This window comes from Homo sapiens, chromosome 6, assembly GCF_000001405.40.
Source record: "Homo sapiens chromosome 6, GRCh38.p14 Primary Assembly".
NCBI lineage: Eukaryota > Metazoa > Chordata > Mammalia > Primates > Hominidae > Homo > Homo sapiens.
The window spans coordinates 101,873,476-101,893,631 of NC_000006.12; the positions used below are offsets into that span (position 1 = coordinate 101,873,476).

At 32.7% G+C, this 20,156-nt stretch overlaps 1 protein-coding gene across 8 annotated transcripts in view; it reads left to right on the forward strand.

Annotated features, from left to right (window-relative positions):
- Positions 1 to 20,156, forward strand: part of GRIK2 (glutamate ionotropic receptor kainate type subunit 2) — a 676,376-nt gene that overhangs the window by 479,768 nt on the left and 176,452 nt on the right. For all 8 annotated transcript variants that reach the window (XM_047418681.1, NM_021956.5, XM_047418682.1 and 5 more), the window contains one exon: positions 16,165 to 16,388. In XM_047418681.1, coding sequence (XP_047274637.1) covers positions 16,165 to 16,388 — 224 coding nt within the window. The remainder of the gene's footprint in view (positions 1 to 16,164; positions 16,389 to 20,156) is intronic.

Here is a 20,156-nt window from a genome sequence, read left to right on the forward strand (position 1 = left end):
TTCTTAATCCAGTCTATCATTGATGGACATTTGAGTTGGTTCCTAGTCTTTGCTATTGTGAATAGTGCCACAATAAACATACATGTGCATGTTTCTTTATAGCAGCATGATTTATAATCCTTTGGGTATATACCCAGTAATGGGATGGCTGGGTCAAATGGTATTTCTAGTTCTAGATCCTTGAGGAATTGCCACACTGTCTTCCACAATGGTTGAACTAGTTTACAGTCCCACCAACAGTGTAAAAGTGTTCCTATTTCTCCACATCCTCTCCAGCACCTGTTGTTTCCTGACTTTTTAATGATCACCATTCTAACTGGTGTGAGATGGTATCTCATTATGGTTTTGATTTGCATTTCTCTGATGGCCAGTGATGATGAGCATCTTTTCATGTGTCTTTTGGCTGCATAAATGTCTTCTTTGGAGAAGTGTCTGTTCATATCCTTTGCCCACTTGTTGATGGGGTTGTTTGTTTTTTTCTTGTCAATTTGTTTGAGTTCATTGTAGATTCTGGATATTAGCCCTTTGTCAGATGAGTAGATTGCAAAAATTTTCTCCCATTCTGAAGGTTGCCTGTTCACTCTGATAGTAGTTTCTTTTGCTGTGCAGAAGCTCTTTAGTTTAATTAGATCCCATTTGTCAATTTTGGCTTCTGTTGCCATTGCTTTTGGTGTTTTAGACATGAAGTCCTTGCCTATGCCTATGTCCTGAATGGTATTGCCTAGGTTTTCTTCTAGAGTTTTTATGGTTTTAGGTCTAACATTTAAGTCTTTAATCCATCGTGAATTAATTTTTGTATAAGGTGTAAGGAAGGGATCCAGTTTCAGCTTTCTACATATGGCTAGCCAGTTTTCCCAGCACCATTTATTAAATAGGGAATCCTTTCCCCATTTCTTGTTTTTGTCAGGTTTGTCAAAGATCAAATGGTTGTTGATGTGTGGTATTATTTGTGCGGGCTGCGTTCTGTTCCATTGGTCTATATCTCTGTTTTGGTACCAGTACCATGCTGTTTTGGTTACTGTAGCCTTGTAATATAGTTTGAAGTCAGGTAGCATGATGCCTCCAGCTTTGTTCTTTTGGCTTAGGATTGTCTTGGCAATGCAGGCTCTTTTTTGGTGCCATATGAATTTTAAAGTAGTTTTTTCCAGTTCTGTGAAGAAAGTCATTGGTAGCTTGATGGGGATGGCATTGAATCTATAAATTACCTTGGGCAGTATGGCCATTTTCACGATATTGATTCTTCCTATCCATGAGCATGGAGTGTTCTTCCATTTGTTTGTCTCCTCTTTTATTTCGTTGGGAAGTGGTTTGTAGTTCTCCTTGAAGAGGTCCTTCACGTTCCTTGTAAGTTGGATTCCTCAGTATTTTATTCTCTTAGAAGCAATTGTGAATGGGAGTTCACTCATGATTTGGCTCTCTGTTTGTCTGTTATTGGTGTATAAGAATGCTTGTGATTTTTGCACATTGATTTTGTATCCTGAGACTTTGCTGAAGTTGCTTAACAGCTTAAGGAAATTTTGGGCTGAGATGATGGGGTTTTCTAGATATACAATCATGTCACTGCAAACAGGGACAATTTGATTTCCTTTTTTCCTAATTGAATACCTTTATTTCTTTCTCCTGCCTGATTGCCCTGGCCAGAACTTCCAACACTATGTTGAATAGGAGTGGTGAGAGAGGGCATCCCTGCCTTGTGTAAACTGGACATTAATTTTTAATCTGAGTGTAACAAGGATGAGTGTTTCCCATTCCTCTTAATCCTTGTTGATAGGTGCAATTAGAAGCCAATTTACAAATCGGTGGACAAGAAACCAAGGACAAAACCTCAATAAGAGATCTCTTGTCCTTTATCTTGGGGGTATTTCTTTTTAAGTACTATCGCTAGTCATTTAGAATCGGAGCATCCTTTCTTAGAGATAATAATCTACACATACTATTTTTTCTTTCATTTTGCTTGGTAGACCATCATATATCTGCTCAGCCAAAACAGAAATGTCTCAAAGATGTTACAGTGCAATTGAGTAGGCTATTTTTTTTTTACAGAAATAACTACTTTTCCTAACTTAAGAAAGTAGTAACACAGTAATTATTTATTTCTGATGAAAATTTCATTTCTGTTTTCTAAATTTGCTTTCTTCTTGTTTTTCTCTTTACTTCTTTTACATTGAATGAGTTTTCTTTTGACTCATTGTTTTTTCCCCTCCATTAATTGGAAGTTATAAGCTTTATTTCTCTTTATTCTTTAGGGGTTTTTATGGAAATTTTAACCAGCAAAGTTAACAAGATATTGATAACCAATATTTTACCCTTCTTCCAAACAATACAAGGACCTTAGGAAGCTTAGACTGATCAACCATTCTGCTGACATCTGCTATTATATTAGTTCTAATCTGATTCTTTCGTGTTTAGATTGAACATATTTTACACACTTGTTTGCTTTACTTGCCATTTATTATTTATTTCTTCTTATAGACAGTCTTCTGTGGAGTCCTGTTTTCTTCTAGAATTACATATATATTGTGTGTTTATGTGTTTGTGTGTGTGTGTGTGTGTGTGTAAAGATCTCTCATCTTGGGATCAACATTACAAATAAAAACTTAATTTGAGTTCACATAAAATCAGAAGCCTGTATTTAGGAAGTCAAAATTTAAGAAGAAAACATGTTTAGGTGAGCCTGTTAATTATGTAAATAGTAAAATTAGTTTGAAACACGAAATTGTCATTTTTGTAGGCTAAAATGAAGTGTTACACATTTCATATAACCTAACCTGTACATTTTTCCTCCTTATAATGTCTTTAAAATGTTTGCAGAAGCTTTTCTTACCTTAGGACCTAAATATACAACATTAAAGATTAATCTAAAAAAGAATCTGGATCCTTTTTTATAAATAATAATTGTGATAGATTCCTTTCTGGTATTTCACAAGTTTTCTTAAGAACCCAGATCTAATTAGAAATGAAAACAAGTCTAAATGATTAAAATATGGTTTCCTTAGAAAACAAAAACAAACACACACACACACACACACACACACACACACACAAAACCTCATCCCTGCAGCACCATTCAGGGCCCACTTATTCTGAAAGTGCCAGAGGCCTGTCACCATTGTTGGAAGCTTAGCAAAGTTCAAAGAGAGCTTATCAATGCACAGTGAGATTTAATGTGCACTACTCATTATCCTGGTGAGACCCTTTGTTAAAATAGTCAATTTCTATGCTGTTTGTAAGGTTGTGCAGTTGTAATTCCTGGATGACTGCCAGAAATAGCCTTAGTAACAAAACACCCAGCATCCTTCTGTTCTCAAATCAATCAGTCATTGTGTAAAGAACTTTTTGATTTATAATGAATCTTGTGGCCAGTATTTTTAGGTTATTTCACTACACTAAGTCAACAGTATGTTACTTCTAGGTATGTTATTATAAATGGACTCATTCCCCTACATCTCTATACATAAGCTTCTTATGTTATGGTTTGTCATAACAGGTGAAGTTGAATTTGTTAATTAAAAGAGTATGTAATATGCATACAAATAATAATACTAGCATTCTGATATGCTTTTGTATTCCCTCTATACAAATTATGGGCCACTTAAGAAACAAATGAGCTTCATAGTTTTCCTAAAGTAATTGGTGCAATGTTACAACTAAACACAGACGAACACACACACACATATATATATGTTTATGTTTATGTTTTTATACTTCACATATATATGTAGAGTATATATGCATATAGATGTTTATGAATACATACAGTTGGCCAGTTGGCCCTCTTTATCCTTGGGTTCCAGATTCAATCAACTAGGGATCGAAAATACCAGGGCTAGGGAAGGATAGTTGTGTCTGTACTGAACATGCAGACTATTTTTTGCTTTTCATTCCCTAAGCAATGCAGTATAACAACTATTTACATAGCATTTACATTGACTTAATTATTATAAGCAATCTAGAGATGATTTAAAGTATACAGGAGGATGTGCATAGGTTATATGCAAATACTATATACTTCATATAAAGGATTTGAGCACCGATGAATTTTGGTATTCGACAGGGGCCCTGAAACCCATTTCCCCTGGATATCAACAGATGACTATACAAATATGACATTTATGTGTGTATATGTACGTTAAAAATAGTTTTAAAAGAATAAAAACATCTGAGTACAAAATAAGTATTTGAATAGACTAAGATTCAGTATTTTGTCAAGGACAACAACTCATGTTTAAATGTCAATATTAACTTTGATAACTTAGCAAGGAACTGATACATCTATGTTTGCTTTTTTTGTTGAGCTCTATTTTTCAATTCATTGTTCCTTAATACATTTTCATTCTATGTGGAGAGATAAACAGTCCATCAAATGTATTTTGTTTTTTAAAAGGCTTTGTAACTGTAACCTGTAGAATGACTTGGGAATCAGCCAAGTTTTCAAATCTCCCTCCACTCTTTATTTGAAGTGTGATCTTAGACAACTTGGTTATGTTCTCTGAGCCTCACTTCTCTCACTTAAAAAAGGGCATTGATGAAAGCACACACTTCATAGTAATGATTAAATGACCTAAAATGTATGAAGTGCTTAGAATCGTGCCAGGTATATTATATTATATTATATTATATTATATTATATTATATTATATTATATTATATTATATTAATGTACTGAATAAATGTTAGCTGTCATTTGTATTTTTTTCTTGATGGAAATAATAGCAAAATTTCTGATATAAATGAAAACATAAACTCAGGCATCTCACTTCCTCAACCATTTACCCAATTTCCCATGGAAATTATCAATAGAGTAAACAAATAAGTAAAAGTTTGCATTCTCAATGGAATCTAGGGATGGAGCCTTCAAAGTGTCAAGTTTTTTTTTCTATTTAGTCTAGTGCATATAAAATTAGAGTGAAGGAAGAATAGAAGGTTGGTAACTGATCCCCTTCATAAAATATCAGTGTGTCTGAGAATTACATGGGAGGCCATGAGAAATTGCCATTTGTATTCCCAGTAGTGTTTTGTTTTAAACATTAAAAGATTCTGTGTTAATCTAAACACAATATACCTCACAAATTTATTACTATTAGATATTTTAAACAATTTTGAGACTCTCTGGTCTGTTTAACTCTCTCTGTATTTTTATTTCCAGAACACATTGAGCTCTGTTGACTTTCTGACTTATCACGCTTTCTCTTACAAGTCATTCGTTATCGTCTCTGAATTCTCAGTGTCCTCCATTATGAGTAATCTCCCTTCATTCCTAATCTTTCTTCATTATTTGCTATCTTGTTTCACTTCTCTTCTATTCAAACTGCTCATTCCGTAGCTCTGCCAGTGCTGGCTGCTCTGTCTCTCACACTCCACTTATTTTAAGAGTCTGGTTCAGATTCTTTTGACTACCTGGATCAAGCAGTATGTACTGATTATTTTACTGTTATAAACTCAAAAATCTTAGTAGTTTATACCTACAGAGATTGTTTCTCATTAACACTGCTTATAAAGCATAGGTCAGCTGAAGGCTCTGTTCCATATTTTCTCACTCAAGGACTCAGGCTGATGGAGCCACTACCACGTGGTGTGCTTTTACTTCTGGGAAGCGAAATGAGAGAACATGGTGAACTGCAGACCGTCTCTCAAAAGTTTCTTTGCAGAAGTGAAAGTACACAACTTCTGCTTACATTCCTTGATCAAGGTAAACCATATTACTGTGCTCAACTTAAAGGTAAGAAAAGAGTACAATATTCCATGTACACAAAGAAAGACAAAGTGGAATGTAGTTAAATAGCCCTAATGCTTAACCTATTTCCCATTGCTGTTTTAATTCATGGTTTCTCTAGAACCCAGAAAAAAATACATGCTTCTTTGAGGCTCATTTCTCTGGATATACCATTCCTTTCATTCTTATGTTATCACCTACTCACTTTCTGATCACAATTACATATGCACCATTTATTTTGGGAATGGACTCATAGCCTTTCACTTTAAGAGAGCCAATTTCATAGTTTTATTTGAATTCAGTGTCCTTACGGAAGACTCATCCATTACCCTGGACTCTATGCTTCTTGGGTTCTTGAACCTCTCAGCCACCTAGTCCTAAAGTCACATCATAGTCATGATCATAACCTAAAGGACAGCGACAATTATATCAATAATCTGAAAATTCAAATCATTTCTGCTTGCTTGTTAATTTGGTTGATCTCACTACATTTTTTTTTTTTTACCCCATCCAACCCCTGAGTTGGGCAACTGGAAGAAGCTGTATTAGCATGAAAATAAGTAGCCCCAGAACTCCAGAAACTGTGTGCCTTTATGGGCTGATACTCCTATTTCGGGGTAGGTAAACTTGGACCACAGAAGTTCACTTTCAAATGGAAAGTGAGGTCTCACGATTTCAAGCAGTGAAACTCAAAAACTCAGCCAGACAGGCATCAGTGACGTTTTGACTTTACAAGAAATTGGAGGAAATTTTGTCCACCAACCCATAGCCTAAAAATAAAACTGCTGACTCAATAGGGCCCTAGATTCATATGGCTTATTTTAAATAACCGACAAGTTGAAACATCATGTTGTCCCTTGGACTACTGTGGCTATCTAGTGTCAGAGCCAACTACACAAAAACTAAACTGAATGTGATCATTCTGGTTAGTGGGCAGAACTCAAGGCTATTCTTATGTCTAGCTATGATCCTTGAGTTGTTTCCAGTGACCTGAATATTTGGTTTGCTCATCAGACTAGCAGATTAAATATACCCTTCTTTGGGGTAACCAAATATAGAAAAACATTGTGGCTGCTAATTGGACAGTTTGGGTCACTAATGAGTTCAGAATCTGTGTTTATTTACTGCTATATTGCTCTTTCTCACTCATAAGTTATCTCAAATATTCCATAAATCTTCTCCTAACCACTCCACTGATCTCTTGCTTATATAATTTATTGTGTTCTTATAGTTTCTCTGGGTATTTCTTGCTTCAAAGAGTTGTGTATAAGCTCTGGGAGGGATCATGTTTAAATATCTTGACATTCTTACTCTGCCAAGTCTATCAGTGGATACTGATTAATAGATTCTGTCATATTATTTCACAGTCGAGAAAATAGAAATTTACTGTATTTTACTATGAGATATATTTATATGAACTCTTTTAACTAGTGAAGGGATGATAATTACCTTCTGAAATTAGGGATATTTAACATTTTTATAATTTTGTCTTAGTTCCAAGTCTTATTTTTATATCTAAACAGAAGAGTAATTTGATTGATTATTACTTCATTTTATTCCTGGAAAAACTGCATGAACATATGAGAATAATAAGAATTGGTAGCATTCAAACATAGTAGCTAACAACATCCCACAACATATTACTTTATATTTGATATCAGAGATTCCATCTGAATTGTTTCAATTAAAATATATTTATAAAAAGAGAGCTTAGTTTTCCTTGTCCTCAAAATATGCAACATATTGTCTTCATTTCAGCAACTAAAAATAAAGCAAAACAATCACTAAACTATTTACTCATTTCATGTCTTAGTAGTTTATTTTCAGAAAAGAGTTGTATTTGTACTGAAGTCACTCTACAAACTTAGGCCAAATAAAACTTTTTATATATGCATCTCAATCTTCAAAGTCTTAAATTTAATAACCATAAAAAATTTTGTGGACTTACTTTATTGTTTATAGTTGTGTTTTATTTGATTAATGTTTTTCAAGTACTTGTTTGATAAATATATAATAACATTACATTTTAAGTAATAGCCTTGTTTTGGTTTTATGTATGTTTAAATATAATAATTATAGAATGTAACACCATATTTTATATATAGGTAATTATCTTTGGCAGAATAACTTTTTTCACTTAAATTGTGATTTCAAAAGATGCTAATTACTTCAGAATCAAGAAATCAGTAATAGCTAAATCAGAAACAGAAAATATTAGAAACATTGTTTAGTGCAGCACTATGCTCATGAACAATAAAAATGACAGACATAGTAATATCTATTATAATAATAGAAATAATACATATTTGGAGTATTGATATGCAAGATCTCAGATTATTTTTAAATAAAAGTTTAGTCTTTTAGGAATTATCACTGTGAAGAAAACAGGAAATTTCTGCGTACTGATATTTTTCTAGGGAACAAAAGTAACTTGTCTAGTGCATTAAATATAAATTCCAGCTAGCCTGTGCAACATTATCAGAACACATCTCTAAAAAAAAAAAAAATAGAAAAATTGGCCAGATGTGGTGGTGCATGGCTGTAGTCTGACCTACCCAAGAGGTTGAGGTGGGAGGATCCCTTGAGCCCAGGATTTTAAGGCTGCAATGAGCTATGATTGAGCCACTGCACCCTACCCTGGGTGACAGAGCAAGACCCTGTCCCTAAAAAATAAATAAATAAGTAAATAAATTTGTCTTAGTCCATTTTCACGCTGTTGATAAAGACATACCTGAGACTGGGTAATTCATAAAGAAAAAGTAGTTTAATGAATTCAGTTCCATGTGGCTGGGGAGGCCTCACAGTCATGGGGGAAGGCAAAAGGCATGTCTCACATGGTGGCAGACAAGAGAGAATGAGAGCCAAGTGAAAGGGGAAACCCCTTATAAAATCTTCAGATCTCATGAGACTTATTCATTACTATGAGAACAGTATGGGGGAAACCACTCCCATGATTCAATTATCTTCCACTGGGTCCCTCCCACAACACCTGTATATTAAGGGAGCTACAATTAAAAAGAGATTTGGGTGGGGACACAGCCAAACCATATCAACATTTATTCCATGGAAATATTATAATAATTCTAGTATAGAGAAATATTAATATTTATGAAGCATACAATTGAGAGTGCACAACAAAATCAGATTTGGGTGGGGAATAAAACAAAACTAAACTAAAACAATTAATATCCTCCCCCAAAACTCTAGAAACATTTTAGACCCATAGTTATTCTGAAGACATCAGTTAAGTTTATTTTTCATTGTCATTAATGGCAAGTTTGATAAGTTTACTCAATATTATTTGAAATTATTAGCAGGCTTATTTCACCATTAGCAAGAAGGAGGTGCTGAAGCAGCAGCTAAATCTATTACTTTTTTTTTTTAAATGATTTCCTATTCATGCCCTACAAGTGTGAGGGAAATCTCTGAATTTTATAACTCAATTGCCCACTTTACTTTCTTTCTGTTGGGCACTGTGTGGTAACTACTTGGTTTGGTGAAAATGAACTAAATTAATATTTCTAAAACATAAGTTTATGTTTTTGTAAACTGCAAATACATATTAGATTTTGTATAGTATGGGAAATATACAATTTAAACAAGTTTAATTTTTTTATATTTTAAACTTACGTAGCTTTAATCTCATCAGTTTTTTCTTAAACAATACCTAGTGAGTGCTGACATAACCATATGCGGTAACTTGTTTATGGTAATAACTAAAACAGTTAATCACAGAGATATTTATGAAACATTTTAGCAGTTATTGACTATTATTTATCATAGCAAAAATTAAAAATCATGCACATAAAAAATCTCATTTTTTAAAATTATTTTTTATCCTTTTATATGATCCCAGTATTAACCATATAATCCAGCATTTCTCATTCATGCTGCCAGAGATGGAGACCTCAACAGAAACAGTGGGCTGAAGTTGTTGGAGAGATGGGAGGGTTGAAGTACAAGGACGTTTTTATTAAATATCCCTACCTTTACTACTATGCGGTCTTTACAACAAAAATGACCCAACAGCTAATCTAAAAGAAGTATTTGGGTGAAAAAAAATCAATGAAAATACAAACCTCAAGAGTATTCTCTTTGGCAAATAATAATAATAATAATAATAATAATAATAATATAATAAAGGGGGTCCTGAGGGTAGAATTACCATGTGCAATAGTGATAGTTTTATTCATTCAAAAAATAGTTGTTTAGTGACTACTTTGTGCCAGTCACTGTACTAGACACTGGAGTTACAGAATTGGGCAAAACAGTGAAACTCCTTACTCAAAAGGAACTTACATTCTAATAGAAAAAGACTGACAAGTGACAATGTCTGTTTATGGCACATTTCATGAAGAAAATTAAAGTACTGTATGGAGATAAAGAGTGATAGAATGAGTGTTCAGGAAAGACCCCTTTGAGTAATTGTCAGGCAAATGTGATAACCACTATGCTCTGGAAACCCCATTGCGAAAGTGACATCAAAGCAAGCACATGAATGAAATGAAAGAATAAGCCATTTGTGTGTATAAAGGGACGAGCTTTCCAGGGAGAGGGAATAGCAAGCGTAAGGCCTGGAAAAAGGAATGTGTACACTCACTTGAGGATTAGCAAGGCAGACAGAGTTGTTGAAACAACAGTGAGAAAGACCAGAAGAATGATGGAACTAATGTTGATAAAGCCATATCTTGCAATGCTTTGTAGGCAAACATGTTCTATAAGTCATTGGAGGATACTGAGCAGAAAGTGGTAATCTGGTATGTGTTTTAGAAAGAACCTTCTGGAGTTAGGATAGAAAAGAGATTCTAGTTGGGCAAGAATGAAAATAGGGGACCAGTTGGAGTCCATTGTAAGAGTTCAGGCAATGTGACTAGGTTGGTAGTGGCAGAGATGGTGTGCCATGTGTACAGAAGTTGAGTTGTGTTTTCTTTCAAGTGTACACAGAGACAAATTATTTGTTCACATTATGCATTGTGGAGAGTTTAGGAATGCGTGGTATTACTTACATGTGACATTATATTGAATATGGATAATTAACTAGCTTAAGTGTCTTAGTTAGAATAAATATTACCAATTTATTCGTATGAACTTACTACTTTAATTATTTTACCCATTTTATTAAGCATTTAACAACATCATGGAAAAGAAAACAACGTTTAGAACTGATTTTCCAGCGTTAAACTGCAAGAACCTTTAGAAGTATGCATAAGATGTTTCACTGATGAGATCATGTATTATAAAAATAAGATCATTATGTTCTTTGATTTCTGAAACTTCATAAAGAAGAAAGCTTCACAACATATTCAAATTTGGAGTCATTGTGCCATTCATGAAGATATGCTTTGTTATCTAATTTTTGGTTTAAGTTTCCAGAAATTAGACCAATAATTTTTACCATTGCTTTATAAGATATAATCAGTAGATTGCTATTAGTTATGTAACTCTGTAAAAAGAATTAATCTGTTCTATCTAGATGGTTAGTTCAATTGAAATTATATTATTGTACAAATAAATTTTATTTCTAGAGTAAGACTAGAAAAAAGTTTCAATTAAAAATTCTCTGAGTGGTTTTCTTTGAAAATTTTAGTAAGTTAAATTGAAACTGTATTCAGCAAACATTTACTAAGCAGTTCCTTGGTGTCAAATTTTATCCTATGCCTTAGGGATGTTAGGTTCATTATGATCACAAAGATGAATAAGACAATTTGGAAGAGTTTCACATAGAATGGTGGAATATTAAATTAGTGCTTATTAAGTTAATAAGATAGCTGCTGTGTAGGTGTCTTTGTTAGATTTCCAGGGAGGGAAACTTTACCATTCCCTCAGTTTAGAGTTACATGCTTTGATCGAAGGGTATGCCTGCCGGCTTTCAAGTGTTTTTACTCTCACAGGAACTGAGACAATACAGTTACAATAATATGTGCATTCAAATTTCTCATATCTTATTGGTTGACTTATATGTGAAATAACCAGAAATAACACAACATAAATTATTGCTACATGTTAAATTACATGATTCTGTTTATAAATTATATACAAATTCACTGAAGAGAAATTAATGTGGATAGAGTATTCAGGAGGAAAAGAACCAGAGATGTGTCTTATAGAATTCGAATACTAGAGAAAAAAGAATATCATTTTGGGCAGGGAAATAACAAAGCCAGTAAAACAACAGAAATGGATATGATATATTTGAATGGTTGTACAGAAAAATAGTGGGAAATGAGCATTGTTAAGTCATCTTTGGAGCCATACTTTCCTTAAGATCTCAGGTTTCGGGTTAGCTATTCTGGTTTTGTTTTTCATTTGTAAAAAGGAAATCACACTACAAATTTTGTAGGGTTGTAGTGAGTATCAATAGAGGTGAAAATCTTCCAAATAATATAGCACATTTTTCCCTCATAATAGACACATTAATGCTAGCTATTACTATGATATTCATTTTTCTTTCCCCTTCCACCTTCCCAGTCCAGGGCTGCAAACACAGCAAAGTTGTTTTAACACAATATATCTACTAACTGAGGATATGGTAAAAACAACATATTGTTATTTAAAAATATATAATTTATTTTTTAGTGAAATTTGAGGTTTACAGATGAATTGTGCAGAAAGTAGACTTTCCTGGACCCCCTCCCTTTCCATTTCCATACACATTTTCCCCTATTATTAACAACTTCCATTAGTGTAGTACATTTGTTACAGTTGATGATTTATTATTGATACATTTATGATTAAAGTCCATAGTTTACATTAGAGTTCTCTCTTTGTGTTGTACAATTTTAATGAGTTTTGATAAATGCATAATGTGTATCCACCATTATAGCATCCTACACAATGGTTTCACCACCCTAAAATCCTTCTGTGCTCCACATATTCAGCACTATCTCAATTCTTTTGAATCCTTGGCAACCACTGATCTTTTACTGTCTCTATAATTTTGCCTTTTCCTGGATGTCATATAATTGGAATCATAAAGTACATGGCCTTTTCAGAGGCTCTGAACTTGACCCTCTAAATTCTCTGGTGTCTTTCACTTAGCAATATGCATACAAGTTTCCCCCATGCTTTTTCATGGCTTGAAAGCTCATTTATTTTTATAAATGAATAATACTATTCCATTGTATGGATGTAATACAGTCTGTTTGTATATTAAACTTTTAATGAAATGTCTGAATGTGTCTATCTGTATCCTTTTTTTTAAGTGGCTAATATCTTTCATAATTAAAAGTATTATAGTATTACATAATTTCTATTTTTCTCTTTCATATTTGGAATAGAATTTTTATTTTAAGCAATGCTAAATAAATTTTAAAATTTAATATATGACTATTCAATCCTATTAATATATTCCTATATTACAACTTTTTTGGAATAATGTAGCTGTGTTCTTTTAATATGTGTTATTTGAATTTTTTTCTAACTTTTTTGCTGTATATGAATTAGAAATATTTTACCATTTTTCAAGAATGCAATATATTATTACCTATAATAATCATTTTATACAATAGATCTCTTGAACCTATTTCTCCTATCCAACTGAAGTTTTATTTCCTTTGACCAGCATCTTGACAACCTTTCCCGCTACCCCTATAATCAGCCCATCCCCTAGTAACCACCATTCTTCTTTCTACCTTTTTTTTTTTTTTTTTTTTTTTGGAGACAGAGTCTCCCTCTGTTGCCTGGCTGGAGTGCAGTGTTGCGATCTCGGCTCACTGCAACCTCCACCTCCTGGGTTCAAGTGATTCCCCTGCTTCAGCCTCCCGAGTAGCTGGGACTACAGGCGTGTGCCACCACACCTGGGTATTTTTTTTTTTGTATTTTAGTAGAGATGGAGTTTCACCATGTTGGCCAGGATGGTCTCGATCTCCTGACCTCATGATCAGCTCACCTCAGCCTCCCAAAGTGTTGGGATTACAGGTGTGAGCCAGCGTGCCTGGCCTCTTCTCTCTACTTCTATGAAATTAATTTTTTAATATTCTATATAAGAAGAGAGTGGATGTAGTATTTTCACCATAAAAATGATAACTATGTGAGGTAATGCATATGTTAATTAGCTAGACTAGTCATTTCACAATGTATATGTACTTCAAAACATCCTGTTGTGTACGATAAATACATAAAATTTTATCTGTCAATTAAAAAATAAAAAGTTACCACTTTATAGCATATTCGCTTATATGGTTTGTATGTGACAAAATTTTGCTTTTCATGTGCCTAAGAGAAAGGAGGTTACAGAATGAAGTAACACATACATAAATTGTGCTGTGTAGTCAACCCTCCAAACACAGACAAACTACTACTTTATGTTCATTTTTTACCTGAAGTCTATATTTCTTAAAATACCACTGCATTAGTCCATTCTCACACTGCTATAAAGAACTACCTGAGACTGGGTAATTTATGAAGAAAAGAGGTTCAATTGACTTACAGTTCTGTAAGCTGTATAGGAAGCATGGCTATGGAAGCCTCAGGAAACTTACAATCCTGGCGGAAGGAGAGGGGAAGCAAGCACCCTCCTCACGTGGCAGAGCATGGGAGAGGGGGAAGGGGGAAGGGAGAAGTGCTACACACTTTTAAACAACCAGGTCTCCTGAGAACTCTATCAGGAGACAGCAGTAGAAGACTGGTGCTAAACCATCAGAAACCACCTCCATGATGCAATCACCTCCCGCCAAGCCCGACCTTCAACACGTGCAGATTAAAATTCAATGTGAGATTTGGGTGAAGACATAGAGCCAAACCATATCAACTACTTTATTTCTGTTAACAAAGTTGTTCACTTTTTCAAACAATTTTTAGTTTCTCCCTTACGTCTTAGAGGAAGTGCTGTTTCCTTCCTGCAGAAAATACTCCCTCTGTCTGCACTCTACACCTGAACCTCTAGATTCTGAAAGACTGTAATCTATCAATCACTAGAGTTGTTTCTATATATTTCCCTTTCCATCTGTACAAATTATTGAATGAATGAATGAATGACTCTTCTATGATTCCATTGTTGGTTTTTGAGATGCATGTCATGGTTACACTCTAGGTATAGATTCCCACACCTTGACTTTATATCCTGGTTCCAATGATTAATTAACTCTATGAAAATGAACAAGTTTTCTAACTTCGCAAGGTTTCATTTTCCTTATCTGAAACAGGAAATAATAGTAGGATTATGTAAGTTTTATGGGGAATGTGACAATTCCTGTGAAGTTCTTAACATAGTGCTGTTGTACAGCAGCTACCTAAAGAATATTAGCAATTATTGTTTTAAATTGATATTTTATTTGATTTATGAATATGAAATGTGATGATGCTCTCCCCCAGAATTTTTAAAACCTTTTTCTTCCTAGTTTTTAGAGAAATATCTTTCTCCGTAGCCCCTCTCAAAGATACTCTTTCCAAGCATTTCAATGTTCTTTCTCTGCACACCACCAACACACAAATGCACAAAAACACACACAGAGAATAATATTGTCAACAAACTTTTCTAAGTTTCTTCGTTAAGTCCTTTGACATTGCCTGAGACAAGAAAACATGGAGGGATAATTTCATTTTTTTATGTCTTTCTCTAACTCTTGACGGTGAACATTTTGTTCTTTACTCTTTGAAAGTTTTTACATTTATTAATAATAAAATGAATGTAGCAATATAGCTTCTCATCACAGATGCTTTCATTATTTTAAAATATTGTAATTATTTCTTACAATATATTAGAGCTTAAGTTCATCTTTGACAGATGATTATAACCTGGTGAGTGAAAAGCATTACTAATTCAACATATTTAAGCTACTGTGGAAAATTAGCAACTTTGTGAAAATGGAAAAACTCATTTCCTAATGCGATTTAGGCAAGGCTGCAAGGATTTTCATTAAATAATATAAAACAAATTAGAGGGATAGAAACAAAATTCAGAGGTAGTAAACAGAATCACACTGAGAGATGTTTCAAACAATATTTTAACTATTTAAAGACTAAAATCTTTTAACTGTATTCTATATTTTAAAATCAGAAATGTCTGTTAATTCTCAGCTATATAATTTGATGTAGTTATTATTACTATTATAATTTGACCAATGTATTAAGAAAATAATTAATATTAAATAGATTTTTAAAGTTTAAAATAAAAGCAATTTTGAAAAGTCTAGTAGCATAATTCATGTACTGAGTGTACAATAGTTTCTTCAGTTTTTTAATTCTATGAAGTTTTTTTTTCTATATCTACTTCCAATAAATGCTGATTTGCTAATCTAGAAGAACATAGAAATGATTAGTGCAATAAATCAGATTCTTTACTTCAGAGTAAGGAATGCTTTAAATTTTAACATAATCGTTACTGAGGCAATTAAGTGTAAAGCCTTTGTTTTATTTAATTTGATTACTGATTTTTTCTTGTGACTGAAAATCAATTTTTTCTCTCTTTCTTTCTTTCTTTTTTTTTTTTTTTTGTTTGTTTCTGTCTACAGAAAGCTGACCTTGCAGTTGCTCCACTGGCTATTACCTATGTTCGAGAGAAGGTCATCGACTTTTCCAAGCCCTTTATGACACTTGGAATAAGTATTTTGTACCGCAAGCCCAATGGTACAAACCCAGGCGTCTTCTCCTTCCTGAATCCTCTCTCCCCTGATATCTGGATGTATATTCTGCTGGCTTACTTGGGTGTCAGTTGTGTGCTCTTTGTCATAGCCAGGTAACATGCTCACTTTTGTGATTTTTTTGGCAATTGTTACCTCCTTTATCTAACTAATAATTGTCAAAAGTCACAATCAATTTTACTTTTTCTGTTCTTTATTTTCCATGGGGTGCTGAGAAATAATGAAATTTTAAGAATCACATTCATTTATTAAAATGTACTGTCCTGTCTTTGTGGGCAGAGAGCATGCTGGTTGTGTCAGTAAGCTATAAGTGTTATAGGGATTACTGTTTTCTTAACCAGAATATAAAAGCTTTTTAAATCAATATGATAAATGAATCATTGCCTCACTTCGAAGATTTCTGAAGAACCAAAACTAAAATAACATGTTTTACTAACTTGAGTTAATAATTCAGTTATAAGAAAAACCAAAGTACTAAAATTTAAAAGGAGGCCTTTTTTAAGGAACCAAGACATTTATAATAAACATTCTAACTATAAAAGGACTACCTTAGTATTCTACATAATATTTGTGGTTTTTTTCTTGTTTTTTCACAGAATAAATGTCATTACCAAAAGTACTTTATTGTCATTGACATGTAGGGTATGTTTCAAGTCATAGGATCAGAAGATAAAATGCCAAGCTGGCAAGGTGGCTGATGCCTATAATCCAAACACTTTGGGAGCCCAAGATAGGAGGATTGCCTTGAGGTCAGGGGTTTGAGACCAGCCTGGTCAACATAGGGAGACTCTATCTCTATAAATAATAAAAATTAAGAAAAAATGCCTAAATGAAAAATATATAAATTTTATATTTTAATAGTGGCCTTTAAAATCTGTGATACAGATCAATCTATGTTGATGGTATTACTTTATTTTACTCTCGGAGGTGTAAATTTATAATCATGTTTATTTATGCCTACCTCACTATCAAACTTTCAACTGATAGATTGTGTCAATATGATTTAATTTAACTTTTGCTTTAATTAAGAAGATTAGTATTGTGCCTCAGGACTGATGACTCTATTGACATGGAGTTAAGCCACATATTCATTATATTCTTTGAATTTTTACGTTTTTTTAAATATCAAAAAGATAACTCTGAATTAAAAATCAATTAGAATTCTACACATAATTTTTCATGGAGATAAAAATACCTATAAAGTGTACATATATATATATATATATATATATATATGTTTTGTGCTGTATAAACAAAATTAAATATGCAGTGCCTTTTCAATTACATTACATGGATTCTTTTGATAAATTTATCAGTAAGGGTATTTGTAAATAATCGAACTCATTTTTCAATAAGGAATTAAACTTTTTTTTTTCCAATGAAGTAATGTATTTTTTTTCTAGCCATAAAAATCTTTAGTTCATTCAGTTAAAAATTGATTTAAATCAATTAGAAGTAGCATAATATTGGCCGGGTGTGGTTGCTCACGCCTGTAATCCCAGCACTTTGGGAGGCCAAGGCGGGCGGATCACAAAGTCAGGAGATTGAGACCATCCTGGCCAAAATGGTGAAACCCCGTCTTTACTAAAAATACAAAAATTAACTGGGCGTGGTGGTGTGCACCTGTAGTCCCAGATACTTGGGAGGCTGAGGCAGGAGAATCGCTTGAACCTGGGAGGTGGAGGTTGCAGTAAGCCGAGATCGTGCCACTGCACTCCAGCCTGGGAGATATAGCAGGACTCCATCTCAAAAAAAAAAAAAAAAAAAAAGGTGGATTATATTTTTATATATTTGCACACAGATAATTTTTTACATATTTATATGTAATTATTTTACAAATGCATTATTTTTACCTAATTAGTTAGATATTAAGAATTGTGTTCTTCAGATAATTATTATTTGCATTTGCCTAAAACTATGTATTGGAAGCATATTGCCATATAGCATTTGAAGCTGTACAGTAGAGCTTATTAAAATTTTATGTGACTTTTGGGGTTCTCCCCACAGTAATGAGAATTTGAAGTATGAAGTTCCTAACATTTTAGCTCCAGCTTTTTCTACCTTCTGTGAAAATAAAACAGCCTTCACATTTTTTATCATCTTTAGACCAACTGCATCTTTTTTATAGTGACAGACACAGCCACTCTAGTTTATGTGTTCAGAGAAATAAGTGCAAGAGTTTCAGATTAAGCAATTCAGTGCCTAGAAAACTCTTCAGCCAGCCCACAGGTCAAACAGAAAAATAAATACTCCAAAATATACAAAAAGTCTTCCTTAATGTTTGCATGTACCCTTGTTTTTTTTTAAATTAACAAATTTCCCAGGAGGATAGAAATAAAGCCTAGACGAAAGTGTCATGAGACAACTTCGAGGTAACTGTGTGGGCATTAGTCAAGCTGAATTAGGTCTAACAGTACTTTTCTGGAGGTCTTAGACACAGAGTTTTGGGTTACTTCAAATTTGTATTAGGAAATTTAGTTATTCCTAATTTTCCAAGCCCACGGCTTTTGAAGTTAGATTCAAAGCAAATACTGAAACATCTGGTTTCCTTTCTAGCTTAAAAAAGTACATTTGCAAATAGAGGCATATGGATGGATATGCACTTATCTAACTTTTCAAAATATTTCTGTAACTCACTTGATAAACCATCATAGACAGCATCTGTATAATTATGGTAATCTGTACTGATTTTACGTGAAAGAAATTCAAGTATGTCATCCTATTTGAGAACATAAAGTCAGCTAATGTACCAGTTTTTTTTTTACTGCTACTGCTTTTATATTTTGAAATGTTACTGTTATATTTTGTCATAGTTTTTAAGTGAACAGATAGGAAAATGATACTATTTCAGCTTCTTATTCCACAATTTCAAAACAAATTGCCTCATAAAAAAATAAGTTTAAATCATCATTTATGGGTGAATTAATAGATATTGCATTAAGTAATAATGGTAGACAAACTGTATTAAGCAATATATAATATTAGAGATTCTTGGTAAAGTAATAACACAAGGATAAATATTTTCTGGATTTTCTCAGAATATTTTGTTCAATTTTCAATCTTAAAATAATCTTGTTTAAAATATTTCTGAATTTGAAAAAATAAAACTGAAAAATCAGATTAAAAGCAAAGTCTGAATATGGTCAATTTAAATTTTAAATTCTGAACATCCAAAAATCAAATGAATTTGTTTAATTAAAATATACTCTGACATAGTATTGAACTTTTACTATAAAAGAAGTTTGTGACATGCAAAGGCAAATAAAATGTTCAAGTTTAAACTGTATAATTTAATTGCCTTTGTAATTTAAATGGAATCACTATCTGTTAGAATTTAAAATACATTTATTTTAATGCTTCCTTTAGCATTTTTATTTTACCTATCGAAAAAATTATGTCTTATGTCATATAGAGGTCACTGATATACTCATTGACATAATTGTTGATATCATAATTAATATGGTATTTTAAGTATATTCTTTGTCTCCATAACAATTATAGATAAAAGAAAGATCATGTTTCAAAAAATTCTTAAGTATGTATTTTATTTTCATTGAAGGTCACAGAAACAAAGGCATAAAATAACTACCACTTTAATAACAGATTTCGTATTTATTAATTATTGGAATCTACATAATATTAACTGTTAGGGAATTATGTAATACTTAGGAATAAAAACGCTGTATCTCAAAACTAAATTATAATGAGTGATTTAAATATTGTCAAAATTTCTCAACATTATTAATTTTACTTTTGTTTTGGTCATTATCTGATGTCATTTCTGTTATTATTATTACAATTAACCTGCTATATCTTCTTAGCTACCAAACCACACCTTTGATTGGTTTTGTTTCCTCTTTTGT